At 38.6% G+C, this 22,458-nt stretch overlaps 2 protein-coding genes across 4 annotated transcripts, besides 3 other annotated features; both read left to right on the plus strand.

Moving 5' to 3' along the window:
* On the plus strand, positions 11-12,549 carry SNRPB2 (small nuclear ribonucleoprotein polypeptide B2). 2 transcript variants are annotated; one of them, NM_003092.5, is made up of 7 exons: positions 11-149; positions 1,653-1,751; positions 2,149-2,321; positions 7,246-7,386; positions 8,837-8,887; positions 10,310-10,398; positions 10,831-12,549. In NM_003092.5, exons 2-7 carry the CDS (start codon positions 1,688-1,690, stop codon positions 10,988-10,990), a joined length of 678 nt encoding a protein of 225 aa, NP_003083.1. In that variant the 5' UTR covers positions 11-149; positions 1,653-1,687; the 3' UTR covers positions 10,991-12,549. The 2 variants fall into 2 exon arrangements, with proteins under 2 accessions (NP_003083.1, NP_937863.1); NM_198220.3 differs by having other exon boundaries at positions 11-49.
* Positions 49-98: an enhancer, noted in NCBI's record as "active region_17562". NCBI's record gives its function as "activates an Ori minimal core promoter by ATAC-STARR-seq in GM12878 lymphoblastoid cells {active_cell/tissue: GM12878}" and the evidence as "EXISTENCE:reporter gene assay evidence [ECO:0000049][PMID:35858748]".
* Positions 149-268: an enhancer, noted in NCBI's record as "active region_17563". NCBI's record gives its function as "activates an Ori minimal core promoter by ATAC-STARR-seq in GM12878 lymphoblastoid cells {active_cell/tissue: GM12878}" and the evidence as "EXISTENCE:reporter gene assay evidence [ECO:0000049][PMID:35858748]".
* Positions 419-468: a silencer, noted in NCBI's record as "silent region_12684". NCBI's record gives its function as "represses an Ori minimal core promoter by ATAC-STARR-seq in GM12878 lymphoblastoid cells {active_cell/tissue: GM12878}" and the evidence as "EXISTENCE:reporter gene assay evidence [ECO:0000049][PMID:35858748]".
* Positions 12,550-18,342: 5,793 nt separating the features above from the next.
* OTOR (otoraplin) lies at positions 18,343-22,149 on the plus strand. Of its 2 annotated transcripts, NM_020157.4 has the most exons (4): positions 18,343-18,501; positions 18,852-18,991; positions 19,888-19,995; positions 21,080-22,149. In NM_020157.4, exons 1-4 carry the CDS (start codon positions 18,387-18,389, stop codon positions 21,101-21,103), a joined length of 387 nt encoding a protein of 128 aa, NP_064542.1. In that variant the 5' UTR covers positions 18,343-18,386; the 3' UTR covers positions 21,104-22,149. The 2 variants fall into 2 exon arrangements, with proteins under 2 accessions (NP_064542.1, XP_016883448.1); XM_017027959.3 differs by lacking the exon at positions 21,080-22,149 and having other exon boundaries at positions 19,888-20,183.
* Positions 22,150-22,458: the final 309 nt, after the last annotated feature.

Below are 22,458 nucleotides of genomic sequence, written 5' to 3' on the forward strand. Positions count from 1 at the left end.
GGCTCCGTTTCCTGCTTTTGGTTCTTACAGTAGTCGGCGTAGGCCTTAGGTGGGTTCGTGCGCCTTCTACCTCGCTGTTTCGGTTTTCCTGGCTCCTCGGCCCTTTTCTCCCCTGTTGCAGCTGGGAGCGGACGAAGCGCGAAGCTGGGGTGGGTACGCGTTTGGCCCGGGTTTGGATCTCGGAGGGGCAGGCTTGGGGGTGAGGAGACTGACTCTGGGGCCGGGCATCGCGTGGCAGCTCCCTTGGACTTCGTTAGGGGGCCTTGGGCGAAGGTGCTTGTGTCTGGAGAGGCGGGAGGCTTGCGCGTACGAAGTAAAGGATAGTTAATGTCAGTCTGCTCGTGCGAGGCGTGGACAGTTCACTGCGCTTTCAGGTGTCTTCCAGCGGCTCCCTTTTGGTGGTGGCGGGTAATTCAGGGTGTCCCTGTAACAACGCAGCCCACGATCAAACCTCGCATGAAACCCTGCAAGAGCCTCCCCTTTGTCCCCCTACCTTCACTTTGACCTCTGCCTCAGTCACTTCCCTTTCGTCGTCTCCTTTGCGACCCCTGCCCCTTCTCCAGATTTCGATTTAGGGGGTCGCAAGGCTTTGAGAAGCGTTACGTTTTACCTGTTACCTGCACAAGTGCAGCCCCTGCTTGTAGGCTCTTCCCTTGTCAATCATCCAATGCAGTTCACATACAGTGGATGCTCTGTAAATACTGTGAGATAAAGGAATATGTGGGGCACACAAGGAAATCATCCAAGTTCACAATTTGCAAGTAAAAACCATGTAAAAAATGCAATAGTGTGGTATATGAGGAAGACAAGTGTAGAGGAGAAAGCAAGGGCTGAATTTCCAGGCCTGATGCTTATTAGCTGTGTGACCTTAGGCAAGTTCCTTACCTGGTAATAGCTGTTAATAATAGCTACTCTTAAGTGTTTACCGCTGATGCAGAACTGTGCTAGAATTCATTTAGTCTTCTGAGTTCTATTGGGTAGGTTCTGTTACCATTCTTATTTTACTGATGAGGACCTGAGAGGTTAAGGAACTTCCCTCAGGCAAACAGCTAGTAAGAAGCATAAATAGGATTTGAATTCACATCTGGCTGATACTGGAATCTGAGTTTAATCGTCATGCCACACTGCTGTCATTGAGCTCCTTTCTTTCAAGTCGGTTAGAGATAACCTTGGAGTCCAGACAGCTTGGTGATGCTGTATACAAATTAATAGGTATGGAAGGACTTTGTAAGTGCACCCATTAAGTAGTTGGCAAACTTCATTAATGTCTAACCTTATGATTTTTACTGGATGTACATTTGCTACTTTGGTCATTTTTCTTCAAATCTACATTTTAAAATTATTTCATTGAGGAGGTGGAAAGAAAATGTCACGTGTCATAAGTGAAACGTAAGTGTAAAAATAAATGTGTTGAATTAAATGGTGTTACTAAAATCTGGCTAGGTATTGGTGCTCCAAGTTTTGAATGTGAGAAACTGTTCTTCTTCTGTATGAAAAGGAGGGCTAGTAGGTGCTGGAGATACAATAAAGGCTACAGCCAAACTGACATTTTCTGACAACTGGGATTGAAAGAGAAATGAAAAGTTAATAATTCTTGTGTTGTGTCCTTATGCCACAGTCCAGTATAATTTACTCCTTCCTTTTTATAACAGATTTTTTACTGTCTCCTGAAGAATTTAACACAAACATGGATATCAGACCAAATCATACAATTTATATCAACAATATGAATGACAAAATTAAAAAGGAAGGTAAGTGCTTTTTAGAATACTTGTTCACTACTAAAATGTGTTTATTTACTACTGTCTTAAAAATTGTACTGCCTCAAAACCTCTTACCTCATCATCTTAGTGCCTGAAATAATGGTTTATCCCATTTCCTATAGGGATTTGAAGGCTTTTAAAAAACAAAAATAGGTAGGAACTGACAGTGTGTACAGTCTGTTTCTACTCATAGATATAATGGTTTCATATAACTTTTAAAATTACATATAGCCAATGGGAATAGTATATGTTTTTATAAATATTAAAATATATAACTGTATAAATAAGTGAATGGTGGGGGGGGCAACTCAATGCAGTATCATTTTATGAAGACTTTTGTCATTACTTTATTACCAATAACTTGTTTCTTTTCTAATTTGGACAGAATTGAAGAGATCCCTATATGCCCTGTTTTCTCAGTTTGGTCATGTGGTGGACATTGTGGCTTTAAAGACCATGAAGATGAGGGGGCAGGCCTTTGTCATATTTAAGGAACTGGGCTCATCCACAAATGCCTTGAGACAGCTACAAGGATTTCCATTTTATGGTAAACCAATGGTAAGCCAATTCCATTATTTCACTTTAATCAAGAAATTAATGATATTGATGGGACAGTAGATTTGTAAATATGCTTGAAACTGTGGCTATTGCTTTCTGCTTTTAATTATGTGTGTTTGGGTTTATGTATTTTTATAGAAAAACAGTAGTGGTAGAGTTTAATTTATGACAGTTCAGATGGGCAAAAACAAAATACATTGAGATGTAGAATATTTTAAAAAATAATGGCAGTCTAGGCAATAGTCTTATCTCAAAAAGTTAGAAATTAATAATATCCTGGAAGACTTGAAAAGAAACCTGTTTGTAAACTTGTAAAACATTACGAAACAAAAGTCATGAGTCAAAGAGGAAATTCAGTCTGAAGTTTTAGAATATGTCGTAGTGAAATACTATGTGTCAGAAGCTGCACAGTCTAGATGAAACAGTGATCTAAGGAAAAATGATAGGTTTAAACTCATAGGTTTTAGGAATAACAATGGAAATGAAATGGTTATGAATGGAGAGTTTTAAACTCAGGAATGACATAATGAGATTCACATCTAGCTGCTGGATGAAGGTCGCATTGTGGGAGGGACAGAAAGGAAGTGGGAAACTCAATTAGGAGGCCCTTGATGTAAGTCAGAGATGGTAGAGGATCAGATAAGGGTGACCACAGAGTGTGAAGCAAGGGGTTTCTATGTATGAGTGAATACACCATATCTTAGGTGTGGATTCCAAACTGCTTTTTTTCTGCGATTAGAATGTGATGTGAAGGAGTGTTGGACAGAGAGCCAAGGGCCAGGGTTTAGAGGAGCTGGGTCTTCATTCTGGTTGTACTATTAACTGGCTCTGTGCCCGTGGTTAGTTTTACCACCTCCGGTAAACAAATTGGTTGTTCTTTGGTCTAATGCAGGCATCAGCAAAAACTGTAAAGAAGTACATAATACCTTAGGCTTTGTAAGCCATATATGGTTTCTGTTACCTGTTCTTTTATGTACTTACGTTTTTTAACAACCCTTTAACATTATCTAAGAAAATTCATGTAGGCCATGCTAATGCAGGCCTGTGGGCAGGGTTTGGCTCACAGACTGTGGTACAGACCGCTGATCTAACCCATTCATTTTGCAGATGAAGAAACAGGCATAGAAAGTTTAATTGTTCATCTAGGTTATAGTAATATAACCAGTGGCAGCCTCAGGAGTTGACAACTAATCTAACAGCTAGTATTGTGATTTTTTTTCTGCATTACAGGTCAGCAAACTTTCCGTAAAGGACCAGATAGTAAATATGTTACACTTTGCAAGCCAGATAATCTGTGTTGCAACTACTACTCAACTCTGCTTTTATAGCAGGAAGAGCAGTCCCAGATGAGAACAGGCAGTGTTGGCTACAGACAGTAGTTTGAGGACCCCTGTTTTATACCATGATGCTTAATTCAAGCCTCAGCACCTTTTTTTCTGTTATTAGAGCAAGTTCTTCTCATCCTCTATCCAGCTCTCCTTTTCCCATCACTTCCCAGCTGACTGGACACCATTTTTGTGGAAAAGCCTATCCCAGGAAACTGTGGGATGGTACCTATGTAATGTAATTTTTAGTATATTGGTGTTTCCTGAAACCAGGCGGTCTCTCATAGTAGTATAAAGAAACACCATAATTGAGATCTCAGTTGGCAGCAGCATAGGGCCTGGGTTTTAGCTTACATCTAAAATTATATTAACTTGAAAGTACAGTTTCTTCCCATAGAGGGTTTAGAGCTATTTTGCTGAGTTGAGATGACAAGTTTGCATGTGTCTGTTACTCAGATACAGGAAAGGAAATTGTTTGCTGTGTTGGGCACCAGCCTCACCTTGCCAACTAATTATTTTTTAAAATTAGTGGGAAAGTGTATTAGATTGATTATTATATTGAAGCATTTTGGGAGGTCTATTCTTTTCCTACAGAAAGGTAACAGATACTGCCAAATCTCCATCTTAGAAGAGGGGAAATAGAGTTCTTTGGGCTGTCTTGTTTATGTCTTACTGTGGTTGTAGTTGCTCTTCTGTTTTAACTCCAACATACCGATCAGAAATGAACAAAATTTGCTATAACTTGGAACTCAGAACAGAATTACTCTCTCTGATTCAAGGGCATTTAGTTAATGCCAAAAGTACCTTAATAAAGTAGAACTGTCTTCCTAAGGGCTTCGTCATGAAAACTTTGGCATAAGTGTAAATCTTGCCCTTCTCTAAGTTGTGGTTAGACTTTTATCTCTAATAGGTATTTAGCCTAGACTAGCGTTTCTCAACCCTGTCACTTTGGACATTTTGAAATGAGTGAGTCTTTGTTGCAGGGGGCTGTCTTGTTCATTACCCCGTGTTTAACAGCATCCCTGGCCTCTACCCACAGGATGCCAGTAGCATAACAACGAGTAATGTCTCCAGCTAGTGCTAGCTGTGCTCTGACAGACAAAATCACCTCTGGTTGAGAACCACTGGTTTAAATGAGCCAGCTAAGAGCTATTGCTGAGATCAGGTGTTTTCACAGGTGACTAGGTCATAAGGACAGACAAATCAGGTCACCGAAGATCTATTCAGGTCAGGCACGAGGTTGCAGAGCCAAGGGAGTTGTGAGGGAACCCTTAGGACCAAGTCAGAAGTTAGTCTAACCCTTCAGCCTGTCTCCTTTTGGTTAGATGATGATGGCAAGACTAGCAGAGTTGCATGCAGGGATAAGCACACTTAGAGCCACTGTGGTACGGCAGCCCAGACCAGCCAGAAAGAGCCTGGGATTCTGAGGTGTGGGTTTAGGCCTACTCCCTCCCCTCTTGTTTCCCCAGTGTAGTCATCTCTAGCTGAAGTAAAGGAAGAGGAAGAACTGATCTTGGTTTTGACAAATTCTTTGCTTTGTAATCCACACTACTTTAAAATGTTTCTTGTTCTCTTCAGATCAAGATCAAATTCTTGTTATACGAGGCAATAAAATTTTGCATACCTATTGTATACAAAGTAATTTGTACAGATTACTACAAAGTAGTAATTTGTAGGATTATTGCATTTTGATCAGAGAGGCAATAATTCTTTCAGCTCCAAGGAGGAAGAGTTTGCTTGAAATGGAGGTTGGAGATTGCAGATAGTCCTACCTAGATAACGGTTTAACTTATGGCAGAAATATTCAGACAGTTCATTGGCGCTGAGTATAGTTATGTGATAATGCTTTAAGCCAGGGCTACTCAAAATGTGGTCCCCATGCCAATAACATTACCATCTTCTTTGTGCTTGTTACAAGTGCAGAATCCCAGGTTTGCCCAGACCTACTACATCAGAGCTTTTACCTACTTTCCAGGCATTTGGAATGCAAACTATAATTGATCAAATACTATCTTGGACAAGTTTTTGAACCCTTCCCTGTTGTAACTGTTGCCTCTTGGTGCCAGCATGAAAGGCATATGCAAGTGGTCCAGTCACATTATCTGTGATTCCATTCTTTTGTTTCCTTTTAAAACATTTTAAAATTTAGTAAGTTGATTCCACTGTTAAAGTCATTTCATGTAAAGGTGATAGATTCAAAGGAAAGTCATTCCCAGTCTTCTGTACTTTTAACTATTGGAAGTAACATTCCATATGACACATTCCACAGCTGCGACACATGTCAATGCTTCTATTGAGAGTCACTGGTAAGGGGAAGGCAACTCTCCAATGCATTTTTGTTGTTGTTGTTTTTGTTCTGTGTGTGTCTGTTTTTTTAAACACACGTGCTTATAGCAGCTTTATTCCTAATCGCCAAAAACTGTAAACAAACCAAGTATCCTTCATTGAATGATGTAAATCAAATTGGTACATCAATACGATGAAATACTACTCGCTGTTAAAAGCAACGGCATAGATGAATCTCAAAGACATTATGCCAAGTAAAGGAAGGCAGCCTCCAGGTTATATCATGTATGATCCTATCTATGTGACATTCTGGAAAGGGCAGCAGGGACAGAGAACAGATGAGTGTTTGGAAGAGGAGGGGTGGGGTAACAAAGGGGAAGCATGAGGGGATTTTTAGGTGATAGAACTGCCCTGTGTCCTGATTGTGGTGGTAGATACATTAATCTTTACAAATGTTACAACTCAGAGCTGTACATCCAAAAAGTTACGATGCAAAAAAGTTTTATTTAAATCCTCACATTTATGATGTTTAGAATTCTAAAAAATGAAAAAAAATTCAAATAAACTCATTAAAAATGGTTTAAAAGAAATTTTCCATCTAGTTTTCTGCCAGAAAAGTTGTTCTGTGGGGACTCTGCCAAACCAGCCCTAGTGTTCTGTGGGCCTATTCTATCTGTAAAACAGGATTAGTCTAGAATGGCGATTTTCTTTATTTTTCACCAGCTCCCTCAAATTGCATCCCTAGGTGCTCCCTCTGTGACTGTGGGGTGAGGGTAGGTTTGGAGAGGAAAGGGCATTTGGCCTCCAGTGGGCTCTGGAGCCACAGTTCTATGTCAAGCTGAGCAGTTTTGCTTTTGTTTGTTTTATATGTTGTTTGTTGAATACCTCTGGATTAGAATAGCTGATCTTGAGCCAGATCCTCAGGCACTGAGGAGATTTGAACAGTTCAGGATTCCAAAGCCCGCTGGTGGAGCCCACTCATTTGTTCCTTTAACACTTCAATGCAGTTTTCTCTATTCTTTGATTAAATGGAGAGAAGCCGTGGTACAGATATTTCAAAGTCCTGTGTTTCTCACATGAAAATATATGTTTTTTTAATCTAATAAACACACTTGAATCTAACTTTGTCTAAATTATGAATTATAGCCCACAGTTTACTTCCATTTGGCACTCAGTATATTCTGACAGATTTTCTTAGGGATATGTTTAAAATTAGCTTGTAGTGTATTTGCGTAATGAAATTTGAAATATTAATGACTAGTGTAAACATCCTTCAGCATGAGAAGTAACCTGTTTTCAAATAATTAAAACAGCGAATACAGTATGCAAAAACAGATTCGGATATAATATCAAAAATGCGTGGAACTTTTGCTGACAAAGAAAAGAAAAAAGAAAAGAAAAAAGCCAAAACTGTGGAACAGACTGCAACAACCACAAACAAAAAGCCTGGCCAGGTAAGAAAGACCAAGAAAGTTCCTGTTTGTATTGGTGTTAAAAACTTGATAGATGCTTGTCTTACAGGTAAGGAATGATCTTAGGCTTGTCTGTATATGTGCATAAATGTGTGTTTAAAAGGTGGTTTTAAGAAGCTAGAATGGTTGACTTATAAAATTCAGTATTAAGAAACAAAATATAAACCTTAACATGGAGATTTATATTAAGCAGTTTTATATTTGCATGGCATTTAATTCGATCATTGTTTAAAATATGTTAATACCTTTTGGTTTATTTCTCAAGTTTTGCTGCCTATAAATAATACTGTAGTTATTATCTTTAATCATGAGTACTTCACTCAAAGTATCTTTCTGGCTGGGCGCAGTGGCTCTTGCCTGTAATTCCAGCACTTTGGGAGGCCGAGGCAGGAGGATCACGAAGTCAGGAGATCGAGACCATCCTGGCTAACACGGTGAAACCCCGTCTCTACTAAAAATACAAAAAAAATTTAGCTGGGCTTGGTGGTGGGTGCCTGTAGTCCCAGCTACTCTGGGGGCTGAGGCAGGAGAATAGCATGAACCTGGGAGGTGGAGCTTGCAGTGAGCCGAGATTGTGCCACTGAACTCCAGCCTGGGCAACAGAGTGAGACTCTGTCTCAAAAAAAAAAAAAGAAAAAAAAAAACCCAAAAAACAAACAAAAAAAACAGTGTCTTTCTTTGAACAATTCAGTAATGCAAAATATAATTTGAAATACCAGATAAAAGTGAAATGAACTGCTTGGCGCCATGGTGGCTCATGCCTATAATCCCAGCACTTTGGGAGGCTGAGGTGGGTGGATCACCTGAGGTCAGGAGTTCAAGACCAGCCTGGCCAACATGGTGATACCCCGTCTCTACTAAAAATACAAAAAATTACCTGGCCGTGGTGGTGGATGCCTGTAATCCCAGCTACTCAGGAGGCTTGAAGCAGGAGAATTGGTTGAACCTGGGAGGCAGAGGTTGCATTGAGGCAAGATTATGCCATTGCACTCCAGCCTGGGTGACAAGAGCAAGACTCCATCTCAAAAAAAAAAAAAAAAAAAAGTGAAATTCACCAAAAAGTAATTACTTCTGGATTGAAAGTGATTAAAAGTCAGTTTTATTAAATGACTTATGTCCAGTTGTTTTTAAAAGTAAGACTAGGCCTTGGTTTTCTCTTATATATTTCTCCATAATTTTAAAGCTAAGAGGTTAAATTTTATAATATACTATTTAAAGTTTAGGGCTGGTCTTAACAAAAATAACCGACAAATTAAGAACATGAGTGTTTGAGTCAGTGTTAAGATATAAATTCTTAAAGTAAAATTAAATGGAGTAAGAAGGATATCTCTTGGAATTAATGTTATTTTTAATGCAGTAATTATAAATATAAATACCTGCTGCGTTTTTGGAGGGATTGGATATTTAAACTCTCCCTATTTATTTTGCTTAGGGAACTCCAAATTCAGCTAATACCCAAGGAAATTCAACACCAAATCCTCAGGTAATTTTTTTTCCATGTCGTGCTTACCTTAAAATAAGATTGTAAAAATTACAGCAGTGGTATAAAACAATTTCCATGTCTCCAAAAACAAAATGATTTCATCTACAAGACACAGTGCGTTAAATTGTCTGCCACTGCAATGTAAGAACTCAACTCCTGAAGAACATTTTAATTCTTTTTTAGAGAGAGAAAACGACACCTGACTTTATTTCTTGTTTTCCATAATGAATCAATGACAGAATCAAAATGACAGACTTTAAACTCTAAGGGCTGGGAGCAAACATTTTGGTTTCCTCTACAGTACCTAAAGCTTTACACAGTTGCATGGGTAAGGGTAACTGGCAGGGTCAGGGGCTCTCTTCCATTCCAGTTGGTTGAAACACTACAGTGTTACACTCTTTGGGCACATAGTTTTATAGTTAACCTTTGCTCTCACTTCCTGAACACAAATAAATTCCAGCCTTTTTTTTTTAAGCCTCCTTGTACAAATGTTTTAGAAACTCCGTATTAAATCTCCCCATGACATACCTCAAAGAGAAGGCCTCAGTAATGTGCTGATGGTTTCATACTTTTTTTTTTCCAGATGGCGGGGTCTGGCAAGATCCTTAAATCCATAGAATTCTCTGTACCACTGAGGTTTTTCTCCTCTTGTTTTAAGTTACTTGGGTTTTTTATCTCCTCAGCATTTATAGTCCAGTTCACAAATGCCAGCACTTAATCCTCTAAGCCTTGAGTTGTTCACTAATTATTTTTTATACTTGCTCTTTTCTCTTTTATGACAGTAGCAGGAAGACAGAGCTCTTTTCTTATATAGAAGACCCTTTCTTTAGTTCCCCATAACCTCTGGGTGGGATATCAAATGAGTAATATCTAATAAACTAAGTGTTTGTTACTGCTTGTTTGTATGTAACTAGATGCTGTGTATATCTCATTTATTTGCCAAAAATAAGTAAATTAAAAGTCCCTAAGCAGTGGTTCTCGGTGGTAATCTTTCTAGTTCCAATTTTTTTTTTTTTTTTTAGTATGCTGGGAAGTAGTAACAGTACAGAGGAATTGAGTATCTGAGTGATACTGAGTGTGGTAACCAGCTACGGAGGGGTGACATTGCTGGCCATCTCTAATTTTATTAAGATCTTTGATTATGTTATCCAGGTGACAAAATTCTCCAATCACGACTCACCTCCAGAAGCTTAAAACATAATTGTTTCATATACTGTTAAACACTTAAGAGATTTGTAATTTTCCAGACTTTCAGTGTCTTTACTTGAATGTCTGCCTTGCTTAGTTACTGTAAGGTTTTGATTTATTTCTCCAGTGTCATTGTTTTTCAGCTTTATTGTTTGATATAGTAAGATTTCACATGCCTAGCTTACGATGCTGTTTAAACTTACAAGCTAACTTTGCCTTTTTACTTTTTAATAGGTCCCTGATTACCCTCCAAACTATATTTTATTCCTTAATAACTTACCAGAAGAGACTAATGAGATGATGTTATCCATGCTGTTTAATCAGTAAGTTTTTTCATAAATAAGTCTGTTTCTGAGAGCTTCCTCACAGGACAAGTAGTACTTCCGTGGGTTGAATCCATTTATCACACAGCAGTAATTCCTTACAGGTTCATTGATTTGGTTTGGGATGAATCATGAATTGGAGCCAATTTGCCGATTTAGCAAATACAAAGCTAAATTTCCTCTAATGTTTGAATTCTTAACTCTGATTGATGTAATAACAAAGCTTTGATATAATATAAAATAGAATTAGTTTATTCTTGCAGTTCTTCCATGGTATTAATTACACATGAGGCTCTTCCGTCTACTCAGTATTCTTGGTTAGAGTATGGTTATTTTTCTTGGACTAGTATTAGGAAGTTGCTTAACAAATTTTAACACAAAGCAAACATTTATGTACTTGCTGTATACATGAATTGTTTTTCTTCTTTATAGGTTCCCTGGCTTCAAGGAAGTACGTCTGGTACCAGGGAGGCATGACATTGCTTTTGTTGAATTTGAAAATGATGGGCAGGCTGGAGCTGCCAGGGATGCTTTACAGGGATTTAAGATCACACCGTCCCATGCTATGAAGATCACCTATGCCAAGAAATAACATTTGGGATAGTCGTCTTTAAAAGACTTGGTGTTATTTACAGTGTTTGTTTTGATAACATTTGGCTGGGTCATTTTAATAGTTAGAGATGAGGAGGAGTAAAAGTGAAATTTTTGTGAAGGACTTAAATTATCCAGTGTTTCTTTAGCCTTGGTGAACTATGAAATACGAAGGCCTTAATTTTGTACAATAAACTTTTATTTGTATTCTGTGTATATAATGCTTTCTTGATTGACCCATCTCCCTATCATCAAATGACTTCTAGTCTAGAACACACTTAAGGTTTATAAACTTGTGTAATAGGATGCTTTTCTAGTGTTACTTTGGAGGAGCTAATTATACAACATCATTGAACCATTCAATAAAAGTTAAGTAAAATTAGATCACAGAAGCTAGTAGATGACTGTTGTATTAATGGTAACAATGATTGTTCTGGGTATTAGAAGAAAATGAGACCCAGGCAGGATCTAAATTTGATCTTTGTATCCTTTTAAGAAATGAATATATTATTTTGCTGCTAGTAGGGATTCCACAAGTTTTCTTCATTCAGTATTAAATAAAGGCTGTTCTTACTGTTTACTGAGAAAACAGAAAGGGAATGCTATCTTCACACTTTGCATTTAATGCTGTTTCCTTCATGAGGCAGGACTGTTCTAAGGTTAATATGCAATCTCTTTATTGAAAGACCTCCAGGGTAAAAATTTTTTGATCTATAGTCTCTTTTCCCCCTTAAGACAAATAGACTGATTAATAAAGAGTTGCCAGTGCTAAGCTTGCTACTTCTTTGTAATTCTTAAACACCAATGTTCAAATATTTCCAAAGCCCATTTTCTTTAGCTTTTGATTTATGTTTAAGGCTATTGATTCAGTCCTCTGCTGAGTAAACCATGGGTATCTCCAGAAGTGGACAATTTGTTTTTACAAGTATGGTACATATTAATAGTAACAACAACAAAAAAGAAAACAGTACTTATTTTTCTGGTGTTCCTGTTTTAGTATTCCTTGAACAAAACCTTTATCACTTGGAATTTTTATTGTCTACTTATGGAAAGACTTTTAGACTTACGTAGACAGTATCACATCACTCTTATGCATACATAAAGAGGAAAAAAATGTTTCCTATAACTTTGTCACAGTTAGTCTGACTCTTCTGAATAACTTTTTTAATCCCAGTAGTCAAGCTCCTGTACTTTTGTAAAATATATTAACAGTGAATTACTAGAAAATGGGCCATGTTCTTGTATATTACAGTGATGTCAATTGCTGATAAATTTTCTAACTGCTTACTCTCGGATACCGTACTTGTCTAAGAACTGAAAATAATTCACAGACTGATCCCATGCCCAGTCCTGGCCATGCTTTGAGTGGCTGTATTGGAGCAGAAAAGCCAGGGTGGCTCACCTGGGGTGAGAATGAGGGGGGTGAATAGTAAGAGGGGTCGTGTAGGTCTTCTTCAGGATTTGCTTATACTCTGAGTGAAATGGGGGACTATTTTAGAGAATTTTTTTAAAGTGGGTTAGAATTTACGTACAATAAAGTTCACCCATGTTAGTGTTCCATTTGATGAGTTTGGGCAATTGTATATAGTCATGTAATAATCAGTACAGAGCATTCCATCACCCCCAAAATTTCCCTTGTACGCCTTTGCAGTCAATCTATTCCCCTCTACCCTTGGCCGTAGTCAACTACTGATCTGCTTTCTGTCCCAACAGTTTCGCCCTGTCTGGAATGCTTTGGAAATGTATCTGCTGTTGCCTATATCAGCAGTTCCACCAATGAATGGGCATTTGCGTTCTCCAATTTGAGGCTATTAAGAAAGTGGCTATGAAAATTTACATACAAGTCTGGGCATATGTTCTATTAGATTTCAAGCAGAAGAGTGATAGTTTGATACAATTTCTAATTTACATAAAAGTTGCAGAAATGGTACACAGAACTTTCATAACACTTCAAATTAATCATTAATGTTTCTAGGCTTCTGGGCTATTTGAGGTTGTGATTACATTGACCTGATACCCCATTATTCCATGATACTTCAATGTGTGTTCTTAAGTACAAGACCACCCTCCCACATAACCACAATAATGACCATCAAAACCAGGGAATGTGGCTGGGTGCGACGGCTCATGCCTGTAATCCCAGTGGTTTGGGAGGCTGAGGTGGGAGGGTCATGTAAGACCAACTGGGGCAACAGTGAGACCTTGTGTCTACAAAAAGAAAAAAAATAAGCTGGATGTGGTGGTGTGTGCCTGAAGTCCCAACTACTGGGGAGGCTGAGGCAGGAGGATTGCTTGAGCCCAGGAGGTTGAGGTTACAATTATGTGTGATCATGCCACTATGCTGCAGTCCGGGCAACAGAGTGAGACCCTGTCTCAAACAAAACAGGAAATAATCCCATATTATCATCCAATCCAAGTTTTGTTTATATTCCAATAATGGCTCAAGAATCCAATCCAGGATTGTGTTGCATGTAGTTGTCATGTTTCTTTAGCCTCCTGTTGATTCCTCAGCTTCTCCTTGTCTTTCATGATGTGAATTTTATATAGAGATAGTCTGTCTACCTCTGGATATATCTACACAGTTATGTTAAAAACTATGAATGTCTAAGAATGTCTCTGCAGTCTTAACAGCACTGAGTTCATCCTGGCTCTCCCCCTTCCCCTGTGTATAAATCACTTCTCCACCAGTCCCATTAACTTCAATATATTATATTTGCTAATTTTCCCAAATCTTTCCTGTGCAATCAAACTCTATAAGGCTTCAATAGGGAGCAGGGGAAAGGAAAAAGGAGACAGCAATGCTTTAAAGAAGATTTGGTCAAACCAAGATCTTTTGACCTTCCCTATCTCATCCATCTTTTGGGAGTGTGAGTTTTGAGGAATGATTGAAGGGAGTAGATGTTATTTAATATAGTGGTTCTTAACTTTGGCTGCATATTAGAATCATCTGGGAGCCATTTTCAAATACCCATGCTCAATCTACACCCCAGATCAATTAGTCTCCAGGGATGAAACGTAGTCATCAATATTTTTATAAACCCCCCTCCCCCCCCAGGGTGATTCCCTTGTCACCCAAGATTAAGAACTAACAAAGCAGGTTTCTACTTTCATGAAGTAGGGCATCATAGATCATTGACTCAAATGGTGTTTTTCAAAAGTAGTATATTGATAAATAGAGGATAATGTTAATTCTGGAAATGGTTGTGATGCAGGGCAGGCAAGCCTCAAACTTGGGGCTTAGCCCAGGAGGATTCTTGGCTTCATCCAGGAAAGAATTCAAGGGTGAGCTCATGGTGGTAAACAGCAGTCTTTTGGTAAATAGTGTTGCCCCTTGCAGAGCAGGGCTAATTCATACACGGTGTGCCCAGAGTTGGCAAAGTATTGGCTCTTGGCAACTGCATTTATACCCAGTTAAACTCACTTTCGGTCACATGCAAATTAAGGGGAGGCTCAATACAAATTGAGGGGCAGATTATTTAGAACTTTCTAGGAAAGGAGTGGTAACTTCTGGGTCATTGCCATGGAAAGGGGTGGTAATTTCCAGGTTGTTGCCATGGCATTTGTAACTGTCATGGCACTATGGGAGTGGCTTATGCTAATAAACAATGAAGACAGCTGAGGATCGCTTTTCTTGACATCTCCTTGTCCCTGCTGGTTTCTTCACTTTTTACTGCCTGGACCAGATCCTGTTCTGGTCAGCAGGGTGGTGACCAGAAAACAAGTTCTTCTGGTCTCCTACCTCAGTTGCAAGAAACTCAAAACTCCATTTTAAACTTTAAGCCTTATAGTATCTTCTGTTTGAGTATTTAACAAGCATTTGTTTTTCCTTGAAAATATATCCAGCCAAGACCTTATGAAGAATGTGAGCTAAAATTACGGTATTTTACTTGCCTGGAAACAGTACTTCTCAAATGTTAATGTGCATACAGGTGACTTGAGTATCTCATTAAAACGTAGATTTAGATTGTGTCTCCGGGGTGAGGTCTGAGAAACTTCATTTCTATAAAGTGATGTCAAAGTTACTGGTCTGGGGACCATGTTTTGGTGGCAAGTTGCAAGACCCCAGAGTTTCTACCCTAATGATTTATTCAATGACTCTTAGAGGTGTTATCAATCTGTTTTTAAAGCCAGGGACTTTGCCCAGGGGAAAAATGCATGCATACACACACACACACACACACACACACACACACACCCCTATGCGTACAATTTCGGAGCAATTGTGCATTCATTCAGTGAATACCTATTTAATGCACACCAAGTATCTTTCCGGGTGCTAATGACAGAGTGAGGAACAAGATAGCAAAGATGCCTGCCTTGTGGAGCTTTCATTATACTGTTGGTTGGAAGACAAACTAAGTAAATAAAGCAGGCATGTCAGCTATGATACATGCCTTAGGACAGTGTACTGCAGCCACGTGATACAGGGATTGGGTGGAGGAAGGTTTGAAGTGGCTCTTTTAAATTGTTCTGTCTGTGGAGGCATCTTGGCCAGGAACCTGAATGCCAGTATCTGGGGAAAAGCATCCTAGGTGGTAAGTTCGGAGCACCTGAAGCAGAAATGAGTTTAGTGTTTTCAAAAGTTAGAGAGAACTGGTATGGGAGGAACAGAGCGAGTGGAGGAGAGAGCAAAAGGTGAAATCCCAGAGGTAGAAGGGCCTGATCCTACAGGAGCTTGTAGGCCATGACAAGGAGGCTGCCTGCACTTGACCGAGCCCATGCTTAGATCCTAAAGGAGCCATGGCCTCCATTTAAGAACTCCAGACAGAGAATCTAATTTAGGAACTGAAGGGGAAAAATGTCATTTAGGGATTGAATGTTTGGAGAATACGTCTGAAAATCTAGAGGAACGAGTATGAAAACTGGGGCCAGAACCCTCACTGAACCCCCAGTGGCCCCAGTGTCTTTGGCATAACTGCCAGACACAGCTACTTGCTGAATTATTGCAAGTTCAAATTCCTATTTGCATGCAATTTTACCAAGAAGCCTCTAGCTTCTGTCCTGTGTCTGCCACTTTAGAATGCCAGAACACCACAAGCTTTCCCAGGCTGCACTCAGAAGGCTTGGTTATCTCATTACTTTATTTCTTCACCTTCAAATGTCCAATAATGGCTTCACGTTAGCATTAGCCTGATTTTCTAAGTTGTGATAGCTTGAATGTCACATTTTGCTTTTTGTTTTTAATCATTTTATCCTGCTTTTGGGGATCTGTATATGCTCCCCAATGGGGAGTTTTTGCAGTCCCCATTTCTTCAAGTGCCTCTTAAATGACAATTGTCTTTTAACTCTCCTATGCTGAGGGCTGGTTTGAGACTGGAACAGTCCATAAAACAGCTGCGCAATCAGGATTAAGAAGATTTAATCAATGCTTTAGTTTTCCCAGAAATTTAGACCTTTAGATTGATTACAGGGGAAAAATTGGAAAGGCATTCTGCTTTCAAAAATAATATCGAATTCAATCTTTCCTTGATGTGAAACAGGAAATAAATGATTTATTCTAATTTGTCAATTCCAAGTTGACAACAATGAATTGAAATAGCATTGAACCATGATCCCTCTGGTAACCTTTAGATAGGATGGTTCAAAATGACCACTTTAGGACAGGTGCGGTGGCTCATGCCTGTAATCCCAGCATTCTGGGAGGCTGAGGAGGGCGGATCACTTGAGGTCAGGAGTTTGAGACCAGGCTGGCCAATATGGTGAAACCCCGTCTCTACTAAAAATACAAAAATTAGCTGGGCATGGTGGTGCACACCTGCCAGCCCAGCTACTTGGGAGGCTGAGGCAGCAGAATTGCTTGAACCCTGGAGACAGAGGGTGCAGTGAGCCGAGATTGCACCAGTGCACTCCATCCTGGGTGACAGAGCAATACTCCATCTCGGAAAAAAAAAAAAAAAAAAAAAGCAACAAAAAACAAAAAGACCACTCTGGCATTTGCTGTGCCTCAGTTTCCTTGTCTATAATGAAGGTATGAATAAAACAGACTTTCCAATCAGGACCAGCTATATAAAAGATCCTCCCTTGAAAGTCACACACACATACACACACAGCCACACACACACACTCACACACAGCCACACATACCCACACCCATACCCACACCAAAACTCTTTTACATACACACACAGATGCACTCAAACCAATACAACTCTATCACACACACACATATACCCAAAACAAAAAACCTTTTTATTATATTTTGCCTTACCCATTTATCCCTTGGGAAATTGTATTGCACAAAATTATTTAGTAAGTTAAATTCTTGTCCCTCATTTTATGAGGTTACGACTTTGGGGTTGGGGGAGAAGGCACTGCTCCGAAGTCACATCATCAACCAAGGTGGAGAAGGCATCCTGAGAGGATCTCTATTCTAGAAGCAATGGATAAGAACAGGGGAAGGGCCACCTTATGGGAGAGATGCCAGCCTCAAACACCCTATAAAAAGCAGTAACTTACTGTCTGTCTCTTCTAATAGAAAGCAACACTTGGGGCCAAAATATTTTTTTTAAATTTACTGCTATATCTTTAGTGCCCAGAACTATACCTGGCACAGTAAGTGCTCAGTAAATATTTGCTGAATAGACGGAGCTAGGGACTGGCGGTTCCACTTTGGTGCCTCTAGGAGTGCTCCTCTCCCCATGGGAAACATGCTCAGAAGCAGGAAGTTCCAGGTAACATAAACTTGTAACTTCACTCTCTTCTCTTTGACCTGTCACCCTTGAGCATTTGAGACTGAATTGCAAAAGTCTTAGAGAGAAGAGGTAGGGGAAAGATTGACCTATTTTTCCCAACCCACCCATCTCTTTCCCCACTGGTAGGGTCTAAATGGGGCATCAATTAGTATGTTAGAATTCATCTCTAGCCTGGGACAGGCATGCCTTCTAAGAATCCTATCATGAAAGATTTGTAAGCATAAGAATCTTTCATTTATCTATTACGTAAATCCAGATTTATTAATTGAATTTGTTTAAATCAAATTATTTGTGCTATAGATCTCACATTTTCAACAAATTCCTACAACTAGTATGTCTTTGCTCATAAGCTGAAGGAAAATTAGGGGTGAATTAAAACTAAAAATGGTTTGAAATTCTCATAGTCCTCTCAGCAAAGCCCTACTGATTGATACAATAGACCACTGCTAAAGCGGCTTTAACAATAGTGGACCATTTTGGATATTATCTGTGTATAGAAAGACACAGAGTTTGACTCTGTTTGGAAAATCAGACGCTAAATAGCCCCTGAAGCCGAGCAGCCTGTTATGAAAACGGAGGGGTGGTAGGCCCTTCTAATTGGCCAGGGTATTTACCCAGAGCTCTGGCTTTCACATAAAAGGCAGGAACCACTGAAGTCAGTCCCCGCTTCCAGTCAGAGTTCAAGTTAAAACAGAAAAAAGGAAGATGGCAAGAATATTGTTACTTTTCCTCCCGGGTCTTGTGGCTGTATGTGCTGTGCATGGAATATTTATGGACCGTCTAGCTTCCAAGAAGCTCTGTGCAGATGATGAGTGTGTCTGTAAGGACTTTTTTATGCTTTTCATTATCTTTCTATTACATAATTGAAAATATATCCACTAATAGCATAAAATCGAATTATACTTTGAAGTGAATCTTCTCCAATGTGTATGTTATCAGCTTTGTTTCTTCTGGTCTGCATGTTTGGTATCTTACTACGGAGAATTCACTTGGCTGAGTTTTGTTGCAGCTTTAATATCTTGGCTGTCTTCTTTCTCTTGGATAGACACCAGCTATGAACTGGGAATTATCAGTCACTCTGATTTTCTAGTTTTTCTAATATACATTGCCTTTTACTGTTATAAAATTCAGGAGCCTAAAATGTAATCATTTAAATTTTTTTTCTTCCAGATACTATTTCTCTGGCTAGTGCTCAAGAAGATTATAATGCCCCGGACTGTAGATTCATTAACGTTAAAAAAGGGCAGCAGATCTATGTGTACTCAAAGCTGGTAAAAGAAAATGGAGCTGGAGAATTTTGGGCTGGCAGTGTAAGATAATTTAAACACCTATTGACGAATATTGCTCTTAACCTTTCCTTGATTACCTACCTTCAACCTATTTTAATGCTTAATACTAGTTGTTAAGAACCATGTAGTGATTGTAGATGGAAATGCAAAAATTCAGGTATATTTGCTATTGCATTTTAAAGAAAGAAAGATCAATTTCGTAACAAAACCAAATGTAGGTTAATGTGATATTTTGGTAAAAAAAGAGTCAAATACATGGGGGCTTAAACATCCCAAAGAATTTGAATCTTATCCGAAAACGTCTGAGAAGATTTGCCAAGTAGAAGGCATGTGTGTTGGCAGTGAGTCTAAGTATCAATATTCTTTTAGGAAACTTTGCACCCTAATTAATTCGAAAGAATCAGCGTTCTTCAGTTAAAATATACAGGGGCGGTCCCTGGGGAGGGATGAAGCAGGGATGATTTTCTGTCCTCATCTGCAACCCTAAAGGTAAGTTCTAAATTAATGAAGGATTAAATTTAAAGCCATTTAAGTCTGTTCATTTGAATTGTTGAAAACTGAGAAATTTGCATCATTTAAAATAAGTGTCTACAGTACTTTAAAAAAATGTACTGTCTTTATATATTTATTTATGGGTTCAAAAAAGATTTCAGGCAACTCACAAGATTGCGTAAAATAAAGTCATGCTAAAGTAGCGAAATAAGACTGGGCCACTAAACAGTAGATGCACAATTCCTGCGGGTTAACTTAGTGCTCCAAGTAAACTTCGGATTTGCCGCAGCGCCCCCTGGACCCCGGAGTGAAAGGGAGGTATTGGCAGCTATGATTCTCACTATCAGCAAAGAGGACGCCTGCGAGTTTCTCAGAAGACACTCAGCATCAGCTTTTTCCTGATTGCTATTCTTCTGGGCACTTAGGTTTATGGTGATGGCCAGGACGAGATGGGAGTCGTGGGTTATTTCCCCAGGAACTTGGTCAAGGAACAGCGTGTGTACCAGGAAGCTACCAAGGAAGTTCCCACCACGGTAAGCATCTCAAAAGTGACTAGACAAGGACTCAGATCTTGGGGCAATGTAGGCCGGTGTTAAAAATGCATCATGCAACTTACAAGTTGTATAGAACAAAGCCTCCAACTTTCAGTGGCGACTTTTCTGAGATAATGAGGTTTGGGGGACCATTTATAACTACTGTCAAAGTTGAAAGATGAGTAAACTTTCTCTATACCACCCCCTTTTGTTTTATTTCAGTTTACTACTTTTTGTCTCATCTTTTTTCTATATTTTTTCAGCTTTATTGGGTTATAATTGACAAATAAAAATTGCATACATTTAATGCATACATTATGTTTTGATATACATTGTGAAATGATCATCACATTCAAGCTAGTTAACACATACATCACCTCACATAGTTACCTTTGTGTGTGTGTGTGTGTGTGTGTGTGAAAACATTAAGATCTGCCCTCTTAGTAAATTTCAAGTATACAATACAGTACCTCTTTTGTTTTAGATGCAAGTTGTCTTGCAAAGCAGTCTATGTAACAAATAAAGAAACCAAAGTCAGCACTGACTCTTACAGATGGTTTTCACTAAAGATAGGCTGAAAAAAAATTATTATGTTTTTGATCAAATCGAAATATTCTAGAACAATCTTTGAATGTCTTATTTTTGTGGTAAATAGATTCTATTTATGTATGAAATAAAGTTATACTCTTCCTAATGCCCTGGGGTCCTGTAAACTCAGGACAGAAATAAAAGATGCTTTCTGAGCTACTTTGCAAGGTGCTTGTTTTGAAGTGATTCTTCTGGAGCTAATTGTTGTGCTTCAAACACTGCTCATCCTACACAAATGGGACTCACTTGTCATCACTTCTTAGCATTATGCTGAAATCTGTCAGATAACTGCAAATTAAAGGTTCATTTTAGGACCTTCATTGTAAGTAGTTTTTGACTTAAAGTGGTAAATATTTCATATTTTTTGGGGGTCAACCTTTACTTACTTTAAATCCAAATTTCTCTGATTAGATATGACTTTAAATACAGAATCTACATCTGTTTTTTTAGCCTAGGCTATTTCGTTCAATCTTTTTTTGTTTTTGTTTTTTTCCAGGATATTGACTTCTTCTGCGAGTAATAAATTAGTTAAAACTGCAAATAGAAAGAAAACACCAAAAATAAAGAAAAGAGCAAAAGTGGCCAAAAAATGCATGTCTGTAATTTTGGACTGACGTTTTAAGAATTTGTTACCTTACAGAAGAGCAAGGGCTTAGGGGTTGGAGGTGGCAGATAAAAGAGGATTTTCAACTCAAATCTTGTTTCCTGCTGGCCTGGTCTGCCCACGAGCTAGAGCGGGGAAATGTTGAGCTCAAATGGGTAAATTGAGACCAGAAAATTATTTTTTCAACCTAGAGAATCTCCTCTTACAGGGGGATGCATATAACAGATCATGTATGTGTAGTTATTTCTAAGTAGTAATTCTTCCCAGCTCTTTGATTTGCCATATATAAAATAGGTGGGTCGTATGTCTTCCCTTTAGACATGATGTTTTCTACTCATTTGTCTCTCTGGCCAATTGAATTATTAATAAAAGGTCTGTATTATCAAAGAGTATTCTAGTATTTTTGTTACTTTTAATATTTGATGCCTTTTGGAGGTAAAGCTGTTGGGGGAAGAAGAGTTTTTGGACCCATAGATGTTTGGATGATGTCTCTAATTTGTCATTTAGAAAAATCTCAAAAATGATTTCAGTTGAATAACTTGCCTTCTAAATGATCAATTTACTTCTCCCCCAATTTTAAAGAAGTATGTGTATATTTAATAGGGGAAGGTAGTTTATGGAAATATTTTTAATGGAATAGTTTTCCCTTAATATGTATCCTTGCTGGATATTATTCAAGCTGCAAGTCATCAAAAGACCCAGAAAAAAAAAAGTCTGTAGGTTATTTTCTCTACTTCTATTTCAACTTTGAATTTCCTCTTCCTGTGCAAATTCCTCTAGTCAAGTGTGATATATCAAGAAATCTGAGGAGGATGCAGGTTTTGTGGTCCTGATGGGCCCACAAGTTTTTCTATATTTAACTGGAAATATGCTTTGATTTTGTGTTATTAATATAATTCTTTTGATGTAGTCATGAGTTTTTCTTTGTTTGCATATAATTAAAATGCCTCTACTTAATGTCACAATTCTGAGTTTTTTCTAAAACATTTTTCACCTTAGAGAATGAAAGTGTGGGGGAGTTGGGAATGAAGCTTGTTTTTCAGTTCTCTGTGATCTGGACATCCCCTAAGCATGAAGAAGAGAGCAGAAGAGGGCATTTAGGGTGAGCCACAGACTTGGCCCAGGGTCATTTTTTAGCTCTGTCAGCTGTGATTTTGGGTGAATATCTTTTTACCAAATTCTTATGTAGGTCGGTCAAGTAAAGTACCAAAATGCAAAACACAATAAAATAAAATACCAATGTTTATTTGTTTCTATTTTACTTTATTCCA

Source organism: Homo sapiens, chromosome 20 (genome assembly GCF_000001405.40).
Source record: "Homo sapiens chromosome 20, GRCh38.p14 Primary Assembly".
Classification (NCBI taxonomy): Eukaryota; Metazoa; Chordata; class Mammalia; order Primates; family Hominidae; genus Homo; species Homo sapiens.

Bases quoted from the DNA above. Each gene is read 5' to 3' on its own strand.
- SNRPB2 (NM_003092.5), top strand. From the start codon at position 1,688: ATGGATATCAGACCAAATCATACAATTTATATCAACAATATGAATGAC. The intron at 2,322-7,245 runs GTAAGCCAATTC...TAATTAAAACAG, and splicing joins CATTTTATGGTAAACCAATG to CGAATACAGTATGCAAAAAC. The intron at 7,387-8,836 runs GTAAGAAAGACC...TATTTTGCTTAG, and splicing joins CAAACAAAAAGCCTGGCCAG to GGAACTCCAAATTCAGCTAA.
- OTOR (XM_017027959.3), top strand. From the start codon at position 18,387: ATGGCAAGAATATTGTTACTTTTCCTCCCGGGTCTTGTGGCTGTATGT. The intron at 18,502-18,851 runs GTAAGGACTTTT...TTTTTCTTCCAG, and splicing joins TGCAGATGATGAGTGTGTCT to ATACTATTTCTCTGGCTAGT. The intron at 18,992-19,887 runs GTAAGATAATTT...CTGGGCACTTAG, and splicing joins GAGAATTTTGGGCTGGCAGT to GTTTATGGTGATGGCCAGGA.